Below are 16,046 nucleotides of genomic sequence, written 5' to 3'. Positions count from 1 at the left end.
AAACAGGCGTCAAGGGAACAAATGGTGCTGCTTGAATTGTAATGTATAGAAATGACTCTTAGAGATGAAAAAATGCAACTCTGTTCCCTGGATTAATTATTTGTGAGTCTTCTAACCATTCTCCACCTATAGTAGCCAACTCCCTCTGCTGTGCACTGCAGCATCCAGCCAGGGAAGTCTAATCCAGAGATTGATACTTACTCATCCCACATAGAACAGAGAGGAAGTATTCTTTTGTAGCCACCAGAATCAGAGCAGGTTATGGCCTTGTGGTGGAACTTATCACTCAAAAAGTTACGGGTTAATATCACAAGGTTTACCATCCAAGAACACAATGGTTAGGTTTTAAAACATGACAAAAAATTAATCTAAATAAACCCACGCATATATGTTCAATATTTGACAAAGGTGCCAAGAGTACATGATGGGGAAAGGATAATCTTTTAAATAAATCGTGTTGGGAAAACTAGATACTTACATGAAAAAAAATAAAAGAAACAAACAGGACTCCTATCTTACACCACTTACAAAAATTATATAACTCAAAATGGATTAAAGACTTAAATCTAACACCTAAAGCTGGAAAACTCTGAGACAAAAACAGAGGGATAAAGCTCTTTGACATTAGTCTTGGCAATAATTTTTTGGATGTGACACTAAAAGCAGTCAACAAAAGCAAAAATAAAAAAGGTCTACAACAAACCAAAAAGATTCTGCACAGCAAAGGGAAGAATCAACAAAATGACAAGACAACCTACAGAATGGGAGAAAATGTTTGCAAACCATATATCTGATAAGGGATTAATATCCAAAATACATCAGGAACTCATACAACTCAGTAGCAAAAAAAAAACAAAAAAAAAAACAAATAATCCGATTAAAAATGGGCAAAGGACCTGAACAGACATTTTTCCAAATAAGACATACAAATGGCCAACAGGTACATGAAAAAGTGCTCAACATCACTAATCATGAGGGAGTGCAAATCAAAATCATGAGGAGATATCACCTCACACCTGTTAGGATGGCATTACCAGTAAGTCAAAAGATAGGTGTTGGCAAAGATGTGGAAAAAGGGGAAACCTTGTGTCCTGTTGGTGGGTATGTAAATTGGTATAGCCATTACAGAAAACAGTATAAAGTTTCCTCAAAAAATTAAAAATAGGACTACCACTCTATTCGGCAGTCCCACTTCTGGGTATTTACCCAAAAGATTTGAAATCAGTTGAAGAGATGTCTGCATGCCCACGTTTATTGTAGCAGTATTCACAATGGCCAAGTTACGGAATCAAACTAAGTGTCTATCAACAGATGAATGGATAAAGAAAATGTGGCATATATACACAATGGACTACTATTCAGCCTTAAAAAAGAAATACATTCTGACATTTGCCACAACGTGGATGGAATAAGAGAACTAAGAGACCATTATGCAAAGTGAAATAAGCCAGGCACAGAAGTACAAATACCACATGTTCCACTTATATGAGGAATCTAAAACACCTGAACTCATAGAAGCAGAGAACAGAATGGTGGTTACCAGAAGCTGACAGCTGGGAGGAATAGGAAGATGAAGGCAAAAGGGTACAAAGCCTCAGTTAGACAAGAAGGATAGGGTTTTTAAAAATTGAGATCTATTGCACAGTGTGGTGAATATAGTTAATAACAGTGTATTACATTATATTGCAAACTTCTTGGGAAACAGTATTGGGAACAGAATAAAATAAAAACACAGTCACAACACCAATTAAACAGGCAATTTAATTCCTAAAACAGAAGACTCAAGGAAGTGGAGAAAATGTAAATTCCTAGAATCTTTTCCACCTAAGAGTTGAATTATAAGGTATAAAGTAAACATATTACTATTGACTGCAAAGGCATGATTCTAAATGAATCATATACATTTTAAAATTGATAAATTTCAAATGTTCTCATCACAAAAAATAAGTACGTGAGGTGATGAATATATTAATTAGCTTGACTTAGTTATTCCACATTGAATTAAACCACAGCATCATTTTGCACCCCATAAATATATACAATTATAAACTGTCAATTTAAAATAAAATTTAAAAAATTCAGAGAAACCACTGAGAAAGATTATTGGGGGCACAATTTTCTAATAAAGTGTCCATATTAATTGTTCTTATACAGAATGATTTCTAAGAAAAATGACATCATAATTTCTTAGAAGTTAAGCAGAAAAATTACCAAAACATTGATACTTTAATGGAAGAAATGTAAATTACATCCCTTGGATAAACTGTAAAACATTTCAGACCTAGGAAATCTTTAACTGTGTTCTCATTTATTTTCCTTAAATCTCTGTTTTCTTTTCTGTTTGTTTGGTTTTTTCTGAGACAGAGTCTCACTCTATTGTCCAGGCTGGAGTGCAGTGGCATGATCTCGGCTCACTGCAACCTCCGTCTCCCAGGTTCAAGCAATTCTCCTGCCTCAGCTTCCTGAGTAGCTGGGAGTACAGGTCTGCATTACCACACTCCACTAATTTTTGTATTTTTAGTAGAGATGGGGTTTCACCATGTTGGCCAGGCTGGTCTTGAACTCCTGACCTCAGGTGATCCACCCGTCTCAGTCTCCCAAAGTGCTGGAATTACAGGCGTGAACCACTGTGCTTGGCCACAAATCTCCCATTTTCTGACACAGCCTAATTTCAAAACCTTAATTAAGACTTAAGAGTTTAAGATAATTTCCTAATATTTTTTCACAAATTTAAACTCAGTGAGGAACATATTTTCTTACCATGTTAAATTCACTGACATTATTCAGTTTTACTGTTTAAGCATTTATCAAAATCTGTAATTACTTTATTTGCTTACTATCTTTTTCTTATATAATTTATTTTAGGTTAGGGACCTTGTCTGTCTTCTTTACAGTTATATTGTCTACATCTACTATACTGCCTGGCACATGATAAGTGTTCATAAATATCTGCTAAATTAACAAATGGATGACTTTGGTCATAGAGAGCAAAACCTGATAAGAAACTAGATAGTCAATTTGCCCTTAGTTTTCTCAGCAAAGTTTTTTAAAAAGATGGCCCACTATTTTTTTTATGAATTTTTTTATGTCTCACATACAGTTAAGTGCTCCAGAAAATGCATCTTTTTGGAAATCAAAATGATCTTAAATATTACAGCAGGATAGGAACTCATAAATTTGCTCTAAAGAGAGTGAGAGAGGAAAAAAACTAATATTAATAGAAAATAGTTGTGCTTAGCACTCTACTAGGGCTTTACACATGCTGTCTCATATAAATGTCACAACCCTGGAGGCACTGTCCCCATTTTAAAGATTAGGAAAGTGAGAATCAGAGAGGAAGAACTGAGAATCAGAGAGGACGTCACCAGCCCGAGGTCACATAACTAGAAAGTACTGGAATTGGGATTAGAACACCGGTTCTTCCTTAAACACACTTTATTTCCTGTACCCCATGTTGCCTCCACAGAAACCAGAAAAATGAAATACAACTTTTTCAGTAACAACACATGAGGTACGTGAAACGATCCAGATAATAATTGCAAAGAAATGTTTTGATTATTCAACTTACATCATTTTTAGAAAAAGAAATATATAAGTAACTTATATAAAACATGATTCTGAAGAAACATTTCGATGTATACATTTTCCCATCCTCTATACTGCTTAATTTAGAACAAAGAAAATGTCTGGACTTTGAGGCAGTTGTTGGTTTTGAAAAAGGACGTGCAGGCTGGGGACGGTGGCTCATAGCTGTAATCCCAGCACTTTGGGAGGCTGAGGCGGGAGATTACTTGAGCCCAGGAATTCAAGACCAGCCTGGGGAACATGGCGAAACTCCATCTCCATAAAAAATACAAAAAGTAGCTGGGCGTGGTGGCACACAGCAGTAATCCCACCTACTTGGGAAGCTGAGGTGGGAGGATTGCTTGAGCCTGGCAGGTTGAGGATGCAGTGAGCTGAGATTGCACCACTGCACTCCAGCCTGGGCACCTGAGCGAGACACTGTTTCAAACTTAAAAAATAAATAAATAAATAGAGAAAAAGAAAAAGGATGTGCTTTTAAGAGAACTGTGAGGCCAGGTGTGGTGGTTCATACCTGTAATCCCAGCACTACAGGAGGTCAAGGATTAATTTAAGCCCAGGAGTATGAGACCAGACTGGGCGACAGAGTGAGACCCCGTCTCAAAATAAATAAATAATAAAACTTTAATAGTAACTTTCAAATAAATGCCTTGAACCTAGTTTTCAAGGAGGATCAGAATATCACAGAAGGAAGCTCATTTTAAAAAAGCAAAGCAAAATTGTCAGGACTGTCTCAAAATGAGAGCTGTTCCACAGGATAGGGTGCTGTCTCCTAAACCTTGGTTTCCTCCAACAAAAGATTTCCTTCCAAAGCTTGAATGGTCACTTGTCTGGAAAAGGAGATGGAATCTCTGTTTGGGAGGAGAAATTTGAGCCCCTTGGGTACAACCCCACGAAGACTTTGGGATTGGGTGGGAAATTAGACTAGAACAATTGTTCTTAAAATGGTCCCTGGGTCACCAATATGGGAATCATCCTAGAAGGGTGTGAAAATGCAGATCCTCCAGCCCTGTCCCTGATACTGAATCCTCATTTCTGGAGTGGGAGCTGAGATTTTGCATTTTTAAAAAGCCACAAGGTGGAATTCTTGTGCACTAAGAGGTCTGGACACAACTGGACAAGCTGGGAGCCAACAGGATGAGTGGGTGGTTTTGGAGCCACATAGACTTGGATTTAAATCCCAGTTCTTCCATTTAATATTAATAGCTCTGACTGTGACACGTCACCCAAACCCTCTGAGCTTGTTTTCCCACACAGTAAATGAAACGACACTTTGTTGTGGAGATCAAATAAAATTGTGTGGACATATGTATGTGTGTATATATGTATGTACCTGTACGTGTGTGTGTTAACAGTGCCTGGCATGGAACATTTATAAGATGACCTCTCGGAGTTTTCCGGTTCTCAATCTATGAATGCTAGTATGTTTTAATCCTTCCACATACATAACTATCGCAGGATCATCTGCTTATCCACCTCCCTAAAGCAGTGTTTCTCAACCTTTTCTTGATTTTCCCCCTCTCCTCCCAGGAGACGTTTTAGACATTTTATTTCCGAATCTGCTAACCCCATAAAATTTCAATGACATAGGTATAACGTATATCTGCTTGTTTTGAGGCTCTTTGGAAGGCCACAAAGGACGGTAATATCTACGATCTTTTTTCCCCCTAAGAACATGAGCAATATCACCCATGTTGAGAATGCATGTCCGAGAGATAAATGACTTGGTCAAGGTCACGTGACTAATTTAGTGGCAGAATTAGACCTAAATTAGAGGTCACAAACTGGCAGACTAGAACCAGCTTATAAATGTCTTTTGCTTGGCTTCCAGTGTTTCTTCTTTTTTTTTTAATTGATTGCCAACATTTACAAATCAAGAGATTTCACATAAAAATCCCGATATTCAACTTCTCATGAAAAATCTGAGATCGCTTCCAGCGGCAGTTGAGAGGCACTCGCCACCCCAGAACGTGGGGGTTCTCCCAGCATCTCCCAGCCTGGTCCCTGCAGACATCTGAATGTGAGACCCTCAAATCCAAGACCTTTAAACTTTAGTTTCAAGCTCACGACCCTCAGTGATTTGCCTCCACCACGCATCACTTAATATCTAGACGTTTAAAAAAACAAATCTGAAAGAACCATACTGAGTGTGCGGCTAAACTAGCTGCGAATTCCGAACCTTTTCCCGCTCGAGATTCCAAGCCCTCGGCGCCGGCTGGGGTCAGCAGGACGCGCCGTCCGTGTCACAAGTCGTCTGCGGTCGGCGGACCAGGGCGCGGCCGGCCCGGAGACGCTGCCCCGCGGAGGGTCTGTGGGTAGCGGGCCCGAGGGCAGCCTCTGCGCACCCTCACGGCGCGGCACCGATCCCTGCTGCTCCCGACGCGCCCTGGAGGCAGAGGGGTCCCAGCCCAGCCCGCCGGACAACGTCCTGGGGCGAGCGCCTGGGCTGCTCCCCGTGGCGGGGCGCCCCTGCTGAGGCCGCGTCCCCGGCGCTGCCCTCAGCGCGCCCGCCCGCCAATGTCAGCCGCCACACGCCGCACGTGACGTGTGCTGGCCAATGGAGGCCTGAAGCGGACCGTGACGAGAGCGGTGGCTCTGGGCATTTTCGAACGGGCGCGGGCGGTGAGGGAACCGTGAGGGACGCTGAGGGGATGGCGCGGGTGCGGAAAGGGGACCCTAAGTAAGGGGACGGCGTGAGGACGGCTAGGGGACGGCGCGAGCCAAGAAGGACGGCGGCGGAGCTGGCTGCAAGCGCTCCCCGGCCACAGGGTCGAGAAGAGTGAATGGAGGAAGAGCCAGGAGAGCCCTGGAGCACCGCGGACGGAACCCAGCGACTGGCCGCCTCTCCGGGCGCGCTTCCTGTGTTGTTCCTCCTGCTTCTACTGGTCCTATCGTCCCAACTCTTACGGCGTCGCGGCCCCAGGTGGTTCGTCGCGGCCCCAGGTGGTTCAGAGAAATCCGAGGAGCAGAATCTGGGTGAGAGCAAGGCCCAGCAGTTTACAGAGTGGCTGACGGGGTTTGCCTGCGTGTAACAGGAACCCCCAGATTCCAGTATCCTAAACCCACGAGGGGCTTTTCCCCTCTCCCATAAAAGAAAGTGGGAGGAAGGTACCTAAGGTCGTTCGGCTCTGTCATCCCTACACCTGGCTTGTGTCCACCAATTTGCCTTATGGGCCAAAATGGTAGTTGGAGCTCCAGCCATCACATCCTTATTTTAGAAAGGGCCTTTCTGGAAGTCCCACACAAAACCTTCTAACTACATCTTACAGACTCGAATTTAGTATCATGACCTCTCAGAGCTGGAAACTGTAATCTTAACTTGGCACATTGATGCCCTTAAAAATCTTTCCAAAATGAAGGGAAGAATGAATTTGATTAAGCAACTAGCAATCTGCTGCATCTTGTTTTTTCACCCTCGCAAGTGGTCTTGGGTCTCATGGCTCAGTAGAAGTAAGTCCTTCCCCTGCATGTGCAGAACAACTCACTAGGCAAATACATACTCTGTGGCAGACCCTATACTGGATACTTTACATATATTTTCACATTTAATCCCTCTAGGTAGGCATTACTAGCCCCATGTTGCAGATGACACTGGAAGATAGAAATGGTGACAAACTGTGAATGCAGAGAGGCTGTTAGATTGACCAGATGGTCTGATACCAGTTGGCTGCAGAGTTGCAAGCACATGGACCTAAGAATGTAATTTTCTGTACCGAGTCCACAAAGGCCACTCTGCCTAAAGCTGACAGGAATCAACAAACAAGATGAAGCTACCATACTGCCCTGTGGCTCAGGAAGCGGGCCCCATATAATACACCAATGCAAAAATAGTGTGACATCTAAACACCAGTATGGTAATGATGTAAAAAATTTGTTTTAGTAAGCAGCAGATGAAAAGACATTTGAAAACGTTGACTTGGTATTTCTCAGCACTGTCCTACAGAGAACAGTGCCCATACTTGGGCTTGTTAATAAGTAATGGAGACTGGGCATTGTGGCTCAAGCCTGTAATTCCAGCACTTTGGGAGGCTGAGGTGGGCGGATCACATGAGGTCAGGAATTTGAGACCAGCCTGGCCAACATGGAGAAACCTCGTCTCTACTAAAAATACAAAAATTAGCCAGGCGTGGTAGTGCACGCCTGTAATCCCAGCTACTAGGGAGGCTGAGGCAGGAGAATTGCTTGAACCCAGGGGGCAGAGGTTGCAGTGAGTGGAGATCGCACCACTGCACTCCAGCCTGGGCCACAGAGCAAGACTCCATCTCAAAAAAAAAAAAAAAAGTAATGGATTGGTTTCATACATTTAATAAACAATGTCTTGTGTATACTTGTGCTGCACTAAGCATTAACAATTCCAAGGTGAATTAGACGTTACCCTGCCCACAGTCTATGGGGAGACAGACAAGTATAAAAACAATTAGAACACATCATGATAACGGTATTTGGGCGGTGTGGGAGACATGAGAAGAGTATCCAACCTGGCTGGAGAGAGGGAAAAAGAGGGATTTTCGTTAGAGAAGACTTTCTAAAGAAATGGTGATTGACCTGAGTCTTGAAAATCAAGCTTGAGCGGATCAAGCTAAGTAAGTGGAATGGCAGTCCAAGCAGAGGGATCAGATAGTCTAAAATTATGTTGATGTGAGAGAAGCCAGCATATGTGACACTGGCTATGAAGAAAGTGGGGGTAGAAGAACATATTGAGGAGTTAGTGTCCTGTCATGATGGATCATGTGTGCCATGCCAGGGAGTTTGCATCCTTTGGCCATAGCATCCACTCCTTCCCTTGCTTTGGGGAAACTATTTCTTCACCTTGTGTGTAGTCTTGGTGGCATTATTAAGATGCCTTGTGTTCCCCCAACTAGTGGATAGATGGATAACCCTAGTTAGGCCAACCAGATTATCTGCCAAGGGTGAGAGGGAAAGTAGTGGGATAGGAAGTTGAGAGTGTTTAAACATGCCCCCCTTGGGAGGGGATGAGATTTCATTTGGATCCATGAAAAGATTATTAAATTGGATAGAGAGCACAATCAAGGATAGAGGTCATGTGTGTGATGTTTTCTTCAGCAAACTCAATAGCACAGAGTCTCTAGTTGATTTTCACATCTTACAACTGGATATAAATACTGTATTCCAGCCATTTGAAAGGTGTATTCTATAGCTATTAGGATTATATTTTGTAACCAAAAATTAAATGACTTTAGTATTTTAAATAAGCATTGTATGGGAAATCTGGACTATGTAGACCTCATTCCTCTACTGTAACTTGGATGGTTATTCCACAAATTTGAGTAATATGTGGGTATTACTTTCATTCCATGTTTACCTAACAACCTTCTTGGAGTTCCAACTCAATAACAACAGGATCCCGCAGTGGAAAAAAAAATCACTGTATTATTTATACATAAATTATTTAGTTATACATAAATTCTTTAGTTTTCTAAATTTCTAAGGGCTTAAAACTGTAGCATCATTATGACACAAAAATTACACATCACAGATAAACTCTCTTCCCAAGGTTTTGGATATTGTTTTTTCTTTAAAAATGAAAATACATCTATCTTTATAATATACATGTTCATTGAAGATAAGTTTCAAGAAAGGCAGAAAAGTATGAGGAATACACCTAGTGGTTTACATTGTCCAAGACATTTTTCTATGAACATTTATTTAAATATAAGTTTACTTTAAAATAAGATCATATCATACGTACTGTTTCATAACTTATTTTTTACGTAACATATCTTAGACAGCTTTGCTGAGTACCACAGACTTAATGGCTTAAAACACCACACGTTTATTATCTGTTTCTGTGCATCATCAGTCCTGTCACAGTTTCTGTCAACAGATTGCAATTCAAGTACTGGCCAGGGCTACAATCTTATCAGAAGCTCAACTGGGAAAAGATCCACTTCCATGTGCCCTCAAGTTATTGGCAGAATTCATCTCCTTGCAGCTATAGACAGGTCACCATTTTCTTGCTGACTATCAGCAATGGGCTGCTGTCAGCTTCTAAAGGCCACCCTCAATTCTTTGCCTCGTGGTCCTCTCCATAGACCTCAGAAATGGCAGCTTACTTCTTCAAAGCCAACAAAGGAGAGAGAATCATTATAATTTTTAATGGTAACATAATATTCCACTATAGGACTGCAACATAATTTATTTAACTATCCTCTATGGATACTAGGATATTTTAAATTTTTCATTATAAACAGCATTACAGTAAATGTCCTCATGCATATACCTTTGTGACTTCTCTGATTATTTTCTTAGGATAATACCCAGAGTGAATTGCTGAGTCAGATGGTATACTTTTTAAATCTTTTTTTCTTTGCATATTGTAAAATAGCTATCCAGAAAACTAAGCCCATTTATATTTCTAAGAATGTTTGACAATGCTGGTTGGTATGCATAACTTGCCAACATTGGCATTACCCATAAGTTTAATATTTGCCAATCTAATGAGTGAAAAAAATATTTCTTATTGTTTTAATTTGAATTTGTTAAATTAGTGAACTCAAACATATTTTTATGTGTTTACTGGACATTGTGTTTTTTGAATTATCTTTTCATGACTTTAGCCCATTTTGCAATTGTGAAAGCACTTTGTATGTTAAGTGCCCTTTGTTTGTGGATTGCAAATATGTTTCCTAGTTTATTTATGTTTGTTAATATTTTTGTTATTTTGTTTCTAGGGGATAATTTTGTTTATGGGGGATTTTTGGCCATAAAAAGTTTTTAGTGTTTTTTGAAATCAATTCTATTGATTTTCCTGATGCATTCTGCCTTTGATGGCATGCTTAGAAATGTCAGAGGGGGGCAGCCAAGATGGCCGAATAGGAACAGCTCTGGTCTACAGCTCCCAGTGTGAGCGATGTAGAAGACAGGTGATTTCTGCATTTCCATCTGAGGTACTGGGTTCATCTAACTAGGGAGTGCCAGTCAGTGGGCGCAGAACACTGGGTGCAGTGCACTGTGCGTGAGCCGAAGCAGGGCGAGGCATTGCCTCACTCGGGAAGCGCAAGGGGCCAGGGAGTTCCCTTTCCTAGTCAAAGAAAGAGGTGACAGATGGCACCTGTAAAATCAGGGCACTCCCACCCTAATACTGCGCTTTTCCGACGGGCTTAAAAAACGGCACACCAGGAGATTATATCCCGCACCTGGCTCGGAGGGTCCTACGCCCACGGAGTCTCGCTGATTGCTAGCACAGCAGTCTGAGATCAAACTGCAAGGCGGCAGCGAGGCTGGGGGAGGGGCACGCACCATTGCCCAGGCTTGCTTAGGTAAACAAAGCAGCCAGGAAGCTTGAACTGGGTGGACCCCACCACAGCTCAAGGAGGCCTGCCTGCCCCTGTAGACTCCACCTCTGGGGGCAGGGCACAGACAAACAAAAAGACAGCAGTAACCTCTGCAGACTTAAGTGTCCCTGTCTGACAGCTTTGAAGAGAGCAGTGGTTCTCCCAGCATGCAGCTGGAGATCTGAGAACGGGCAGACTGCCTCCTCAAGTGGGTCCCTGACCCCTGACTCCCGAGCAGCCTAACTGGGAGGCACCCCCCAGTAGGGGCAGACTGACACCTCACACGGCCGGGTACTCCTCTGAGACAAAACTTCCAGAGGAACGATCACACAGCAGCATTCGCGGTTCACGAAAATCCGCTGTTCTGCAGCCACCGCTGCTGATACCTAGGCAAACGGTCTGGAGTGGACCTCTAGCAAACTCCAACAGACCTGCAGCTGAGGGTCCTGTCTGTTAGAAGGAAAACTAACAAACAGAAAGGACATCCACACCAAAAACCCACTGTACATCACCATCATCAAAGACCAAAAGTAGATAAAAGCACAAAGATAGGGAAAAAACAGAGCAGAAAAACTGGAAACTCTAAAAAGCCGAGTGCCTCTCCTCCTCCAAAGGAACGCAGTTCCTCACCAGCAACGGAACAAAGCTGGACGGAGAATGACTTTGACGAGTTGAGAGAAGAAGGCTTCAGACGATTAAACTACTCCGAGCTACAGGAGGAAATTCAAACCAAAGGCAAAGAAGTTAAAAACTTTGAAAAAAATTTAGACTAATGTATAACTAGAATAACCAATACAGAGAAGTGCTTAAAGGAGCTGATGGAGCTGAAAGCCAAGGCTTGAGAACTACGTGAAGAATGCAGAAGCCTCAGAAACCGATGCGATCAACTAGAAGAAAGGGTATCAGTGATGGAAGATCAAATGAATGAAATGAAGCGAGAAGAGAAGTTTAGAGAAAAAAGAATAAAAAGAAACGAACAAAGCCTCCAAGAAATATGGGACTATGTGAAAAGGCCAAATCTATGTCTCATTGGTGTACCTGAAAGTGACGGGGAGAATGGAACCAAGTTGGAAAACACTCTGCAGGATATTATCCAGGAGAACTTCCCCAATCTAGCAAGGCAGGCCAACATTCAGATTCAGGAAATACAGAGAACGCCACAAAGATACTCCTCGAGAAGAGTAACTCCAAGACACATAATTGTCAGATTCACCAAAGTTGAAATGAAGGAATAAATGTTAAGGGCAGCCAGAGAGAAAGGTCGGGTTACCCACAAAGGGAAGCCCATCAGACTAACAGCAGATCTCTTGGCAGAAACTCTACAAGCCAGAAGAGAGTGGGGGCCAATATTCAACATTCTTAAAGAAAAGAATTTTCAACCCAGAATTTCATATCCAGCCAAACTAAGCTTCATAAGTGAAGGAGAAATAAAATCCTTTACAGACAAGCAAATGCTGAGAGATTTTGTTACCACCAGGCCTGCCCTAAAAGAGCTCCTGAAGGAAGCACTAAGCATGGAAAGGAACAACTGGTACCAGCTGCTGCAAAATCATGCCAAATTGTAAAAGCCATCGAGGCTAGGAAGAAACTGCATCAACTAATGAGCAAAATAACCAGCTAACATCATAATGACAGGATCAAATTCACACATAACAATATGAACTTTAAATGTAAATGGACTAAATTCTCCAATTAAAAGACACAGACTGGCAAATTGGATAAAGAGTCAAGACCCATCAGTGTGCTGTATTCAGGAAACCCATCTCATGTGCAGAGACACACATAGGCTCAAAATAAAAGGATGGAGGAAGATCTACCAAGCAAATGGAAAACAAAAAAAGGCAGAGGTTACAATCCTAGTCTCTGATAAAACAGACTTTAAACCAACAAAGATCAAAAGAGACAAAGAAGGCCATTACATAATGGTAAAGGGATCAGTTCAACAAGAAGAGCTAACTATCCTAAATATATATGCACCCAATACAGGAGCACCCAGATTCATAAAGCAAGTCCTGAGTGACCTACAAAGAGACTTAGACTCCCACACAATAATAATGGGAGACTTTTAACACCCCATTGTCAACATTAGACAGATCAACGAGACAGAAAGTTAACAAGGATACCCAGGAATTGAACTCAGCTCTGCACCAAGCGGACCTAATAGACATCTACAGAACTCTCCACCCCAAATCAACAGAATATACATTTTTTTCAGCACCACACCACAACTATTCCAAAATTGACCACATAGTCGGAAGTAAAGCTGTCCTCAGCAAATGTAAAAGAACAGAAATTATAACAAACTGTCTCTCAGACCACAGTGCAATCAAACTAGAACTCAGGATTAAGAAACTCACTCAAAACCGCTCAACTACATGAAAACTGAACAACCTGCTCCTGAATGCCTACTGGGTACATAATGAAATGAAGGCAGAAATAAAGATGTTCTTTGAAACCAACGAGAACAAAGACACAACATACCATAATCTCTGGGACACATTCAAAGCAGTGTGTAGAGGGAAATTTATAGCACTAAATGCCCACAAGAGAAAGCAGGAAAGATCCAAAATTGACACCCTAACATCACAATTAAAAGAACTAGAAAAGTAAGAGCAAACACATTCAAAAGCTAGCAGAAGGCAAGAAATAACTAAAATCAGAGCAGAACTGAAGGAAATAGAGACACAAAAAACCCTTCAATAAATTAATGAATCCAGGAGCTGGTTTTTTGAAAGGATCAACAAAATTGATAGACCACTAGCAAGACTAATAAAGAAGAAAAGAGAGAAGAATCAAATAGACACAATAAAAAATGATAAAGGGGATATCACCACCGATCCCACAGATATACAAACTACCATCAGAGAATACTACAAACACCTCTACGCAAATAAACTAGAAAATCTAGAAGAAATGGATAAATTCCTCAACACATACACCCTCCAAAGACTAAACCAGGAAGAAGTTGAATCTCTGAATAGACCAATTACAGGCTCTGAAATTGAGGCAATAATCAATAGCTTACCAACCAAAAAGAGTCCAGGACCAGATGGATTCACAGCCAAATTCTACCAGAGGTACAAGGAGGAACTGGTACCATTCCTTCTGAAGCTATTCCAATCAACAGAAAAAGAGGGAATCCTCCCTAACTCATTTTATGAGGCCAGCAGCATCCTGATACCAAAGCCAGGCAGAGACACAATGAAAAAAGAGAATTTTAGACCAATAGCCTTGATGAACATTGATGCAAAAATCCTCAATAAAATACTGGCAAACCAAATCCAGCAGCACATCAAAAAGCTTATCCACCATGATCAAGTGGGCTCATCCCTGGAATGCAAGGCTGGTTCAATATACACAAATCAATAAATGTAATCCAGCATATAAACAGAACCAAAGACAAAAACCACATGATTATCTCAATAGATGCAGAAAAGGCCTTTGACAAAATTCAACAACCTTCATGTTAAAAACTCTCAATAAATTAGGTATTGATGGGATGTATCTCAAAATAATAGAGCTATCTATGACAAACCCACAGCCAATATCATACTGAATGGGCAAAAACTGGAAGCATTCCCTTTTAAAACAGGCACAAGACAGGGATGCCCTCTCTCACCACTCCTATTCAACATAGTGTTGGAAGTTCTGGCCAGGGCAATTAGGCAGGAGAAGGAAATAAAGGGTATTCAATTAGGAAAAGAGGAAGTCAAATTGTCCCTGTTTGCAGATGACATGATTGTATTTCTAGAAAACCCCATTGTCTCAGCCCAAAATCTCCTTAAGCTGATAAGCAACTTCAGCAAAGTCTCAGGATACAAAATCAATGTACAAAAATCACAAGCATTCTTATACACCAATAACAGACAAACAGAGAGCCAAATCATGAGTGAACTCCCGTTCACAATTGCTTCAAAGAGAATAAAATACCTAGGAATCCAACTTACAAGGGACGTGAAGGACCTCTTCAAGGAGAACTACAAACCACTGCTCAATGAAATAAAAGAGGATACAAAGAAATAGAAGAACATTCCATGCTCATGGGTAGGAAGAATCAGTATCGTGAAAATGGCCCATACTGCCCAAGGTAATTTATAGATTCAATGCCATCCCCATCAAGCTACCAATGACTTTCTTCACAGAATTGGAAAAAACTACTTTAAAGTTCATATGGAACCAAAAAAGAGCCCGCATCACCAAGTCAATCCTAAGCCAAAAGAACAAATCTGGAGGCATCATGCTACCTGACTTCAAACTATACTACAAGGCTTCAGTAACCAAAACAGCATGGTACTGTTAACAAAATAGAGATATAGATCAATGGAACAGAACAGAGCCTTCAGAAATAATGCCACATATCTACAACTATCTGATCTTTGACAAACCTGACAAAAACAAGCAATGGGGAAAAGATTCCCTATTTAATAAATGGTACTGGGAAAACTGGCTAGCCATATGTAGAAAGCTGAAACTGGATCCCTTCCTTACAACTTATACAAAAATCAATTCAAGATGGATTAAAGACTTAAACGTTAGACCTAAAACCATAAAAACCCTAGAAGAAAACCTAGGCATTACCATTCAGGACATAGGCATGGGCAAGGACTTCATGTCTAAAACACCAAAAACAATGGCAACAAAAGCCGAAATTGACAAATGGGATCTAATTAAACTAAAGAGCTTCTGCACAGCAAAAGAAACTACCATCAGAGTGAACAGGCAACCTACAAAATGGGAGAAAATTTTCGCAGCCTGCTCATCTGACAAAGGGCTAATATCCAGAATCTACAATGAACTCAAACAAATCTACAAGAAAAAAACAAACAACCCCATCAAAAAGTGGGCAAAGGACATGAACAGACACTTCTCAAAAGAAGACATTTATGCAGCCAAAAGACACATGAAAAAATGCTCACCATCACTGGCTGTCAGAGAAACACAAACCAAAACCACAATGAGATACCATCTCACACCAGTTAGAATGGCAATCATTAAAAAGTCAGGAAGCAACAGGTGCTGGAGAGGACGTGGAGAAATAGGAACACTTTTACACTGTTGGTGGGACTGTAAACTAGTTCAACCATTGTGGAAGTCAGTGTGGCGATTCCTCAGGGATCTAGAACTAGAAATACCATTTGACCCAGCCATCCCATTACTGGGTATATACCC

At 41.2% G+C, this 16,046-nt stretch overlaps 1 protein-coding gene across 2 annotated transcripts in view, besides 2 other annotated features; it reads right to left on the bottom strand.

The window, feature by feature from the left end:
• Positions 1-6,076, bottom strand: part of PTPDC1 (protein tyrosine phosphatase domain containing 1) — a 79,044-nt gene extending 72,968 nt beyond the window's left edge. For both annotated transcript variants that reach the window (NM_177995.3, NM_001253830.2), the window contains exon 1: positions 5,762-6,076. The gene's annotated coding sequence lies outside the window, so the exon portion shown is untranslated. The remainder of the gene's footprint in view (positions 1-5,761) is intronic.
• Positions 5,798-6,217: a silencer, noted in NCBI's record as "silent region_20051". NCBI's record gives its function as "represses an Ori minimal core promoter by ATAC-STARR-seq in GM12878 lymphoblastoid cells {active_cell/tissue: GM12878}" and the evidence as "EXISTENCE:reporter gene assay evidence [ECO:0000049][PMID:35858748]".
• Positions 6,488-6,537: an enhancer, noted in NCBI's record as "active region_28627". NCBI's record gives its function as "activates an Ori minimal core promoter by ATAC-STARR-seq in GM12878 lymphoblastoid cells {active_cell/tissue: GM12878}" and the evidence as "EXISTENCE:reporter gene assay evidence [ECO:0000049][PMID:35858748]".

Source organism: Homo sapiens, chromosome 9, assembly GCF_000001405.40.
Source record: "Homo sapiens chromosome 9, GRCh38.p14 Primary Assembly".
Lineage (NCBI taxonomy): Eukaryota > Metazoa > Chordata > Mammalia > Primates > Hominidae > Homo > Homo sapiens.
Note: the sequence above shows the minus strand (reverse complement) of the source record. Positions and strands in the feature narration are given on the sequence as shown.